Raw genomic sequence first — 2,716 nt, 5'->3', positions numbered from 1 at the left:
AGACAGAGGAGACGCAGAGACAGAGGAGAGGGAGAGACAGAGGAGAGGGAGAGACAGAGGAGAGGCAGAGACAGAGGAGAGGCAGAGACAGAGGAGAGGGAGAGACAGAGGAGAGGCAGAGACAGGAGACGCAGAGACAGAGGAGAGGGAGAGACAGAGGAGAGGGAGAGACTGAGGAGACGCAGAGACAGAGGAGAGGGAGAGACAGAGGAGAGGCAGAGACAGAGGAGAGGGAGAGACAGAGGAGAGGCAGAGACAGAGGAGAGGCAGAGACAGAGGAGAGGCAGAGACAGAGGAGAGGCAGAGACAGAGGAGAGGGAGAGACAGAGGAGAGGCAGAGACAGAGGAGAGGGAGAGACAGAGGAGAGGCAGAGACAGAGAAGAGGGAGAGACAGAGGGGAGGCAGAGACAGAGGAGAGGGAGAGACAGAGGAGAGGCAGAGACAGAGGAGAGGCAGAGACAGAGGAGAGGGAGAGACAGAGGAGAGGGAGAGACAGAGGAGAGGCAGAGACAGAGGAGAGGGAGAGACAGAGGAGAGGCAGAGACAGAGGAGAGGCAGAGACAGAGGAGAGGGAGAGACAGAGGAGAGGGAGAGACAGAGGAGAGGCAGAGACAGAGGAGAGGGAGAGACAGAGGAGAGGCAGAGACAGAGGAGAGGGAGAGGCAGAGGAGAGGCAGAGACAGAGGAGAGGCCGAGTCAGAGGAGAGGCAGAGACAGAGGAGAGGCTGAGTCAGAGGAGAGGCAGAGACAGGAGAGGTGGGGGAGGAAGGCCAGACCATCCCCCTGTGCCCAGCCAGTGCCAGATCCACAGTGGCGTGGGGAAGGGAGAAAGTGGAGAAGAGGGAGGGGTGGGGAAGAAGGTGGTGGGTGAAGCTGGTGCCCCATGGGAGGAGCAGAGACAAAAAGATACAGAAGCAGAGAGACCCAGGTGGGGGGTCGGGGGAAGACAGAGAAAGAGAGGGCTGGGGAGAGAGAGAGAAGAATGAGAAAGGGCGGGGAGAGAGGGGGAAAGAGAGAATGAGAAAGGGGAGAGAGAGAAAGAGAGGGGGAAGGAAAGAGGAGGGAGAGAGAAAGAGAAACGGAGGGAGAAAGGGGGGAGAGGGAGAGAGAGAGGGAGAGAGGGAGATGTAGACACAGAGAGACGTGTAGAGACCCAGAGATACACACAGAGATAAGGAGAGACGGAGAGATCATCATGGAGAACTGGGAGAGAGGGAGAGAGATGTGGCCAGCCCTAGACACTCAGAGTGCTGTTCGGATCATAATCGCCTGAGTAGCTTTTGGGGGTTCTTTTAGCAGGCATCATGGGGTATTCGGGCCAGTCTTGGCCAGTGCTGGAGCCTCGGGGTCTCCCAGAGTCCACCCCACAGCCCCTCATGTTCAGGCTGGGGTGGAAGAAACCCAGAACTGGGTGGGCAGTGGCCAGAGGGGCTCAGAAAGAGGAGCTGGAAGCAAAGCTATTGAAGGCAATTGATTGCCAGGAAGAAAAGGCTTTGGGGAAAAGCGTTTCTGGTACAGGGACCAGCATGGGCAAAGGCCGGGTGGGGGTGAAATAAAGTCAGTGCACTTGGACATGGCAAGATTGTCCTGTGGCTCATGTTGGAATGGGTGCTGTGGAGGGGATAGGATGGAGATGACGCAGGAAAGGCCTCCAGGGTCATGTACCCCAAAATACAGGCATTGGGGCCCAGAGAGTCCTCCGTCTTGGTTTGGCTCATGAGGAGCCACCAGGCTGTGGAGAAGTAAAACTGGACACAGCTGGACACTGACTGAGGGGTCAGGGCTGGGACAGAGGGACAATCCTGGGGAGCTCAGAGTTGGGAAGAGAGTGGGGGCACCAGACACTGGTCCCTGGGATAAAACAGGCTGAGAATCCCTTATCCAAAATGCTTGGGATGGCTGGATGCAGTGGCTCATGCCTGTAATCCTAGCACTTTGGGAGTCTGAGGCAGGCAGATCACCTGAAGTTGGGAGTTCGAGACTAGCCTGGCCAACATGGTGAAACCCCATCTCCACTAAAAATACAAAAGTATGGTGGCGCACACCTGTAATCCCAGCACTTTGGGAGGACGAGGCGGGTGGATCACCTGAGGTCAGGAGTTCAAGACCAGCCTGGCCAACATGGCAAAACCCCGTCTCTACTAAAAATACAAAAAATTAGCTGGGCATGGTGGTGGGCACCTGTAATCCCAGCTACCTGGGAGGCTGAGGCAAGAGAATCGCTTGAACCCAGGAGGCAGAGGTTGCAGTGAGCCGAAATCACACCATCGCACTCCAGCCTGGGTGACAGAGCGAGATTCCGTCTCAAAAAAAAAAAAAAAAAATTAGCTAGGGGTGCTGACGCATACCTGTAATCCCAGCTACTTGGGAGTCTGAGGCATGAGACTCACTTGAACCCAGGAGACGGAGGTTGAAGTGAGTCAAGATTGCGTCATTGCGTTCCGGCTTGGGGGACAGAGTAAGACTCTGCCTCAAAAAAAATAAAAAATAAAAAAGGCCGGGCGCAGTGGCTCACGCCTGTAATCCCAGCACTTTGGGAGGCCAAGGCAGGCAGATCACGAGGTCAGGAGATCGAGACCAACCTGGCTAACACGGTGAAACCCCGTCTCTACTAAAAATACAAAAAATTAGCCGGGCGTGGTGGCGGGCGCCTGTAGTCCCAGCTACTCGGGAGGCTGAGGCAGGAGAATGGCGTGAACCCGGGAGGCGGAGCTT

At 56.0% G+C, this 2,716-nt stretch overlaps 1 annotated feature.

Annotated features, from left to right (window-relative positions):
- Positions 2,294 to 2,494: a silencer, noted in NCBI's record as "peak3284 fragment used in MPRA reporter construct". NCBI's record gives its function as "represses an SCP1 promoter by STARR-seq MPRAs in K562 erythroleukemia cells {active_cell/tissue: K562}" and the evidence as "EXISTENCE:reporter gene assay evidence [ECO:0000049][PMID:32103011]".

Source organism: Homo sapiens, chromosome 19 (assembly GCF_000001405.40).
Source record: "Homo sapiens chromosome 19, GRCh38.p14 Primary Assembly".
In the NCBI taxonomy this organism is placed as follows: Eukaryota; Metazoa; Chordata; class Mammalia; order Primates; family Hominidae; genus Homo; species Homo sapiens.
The sequence above is the reverse complement of the archived record's forward strand: the minus strand, read 5'-3'. Positions and strand labels throughout refer to the sequence as shown.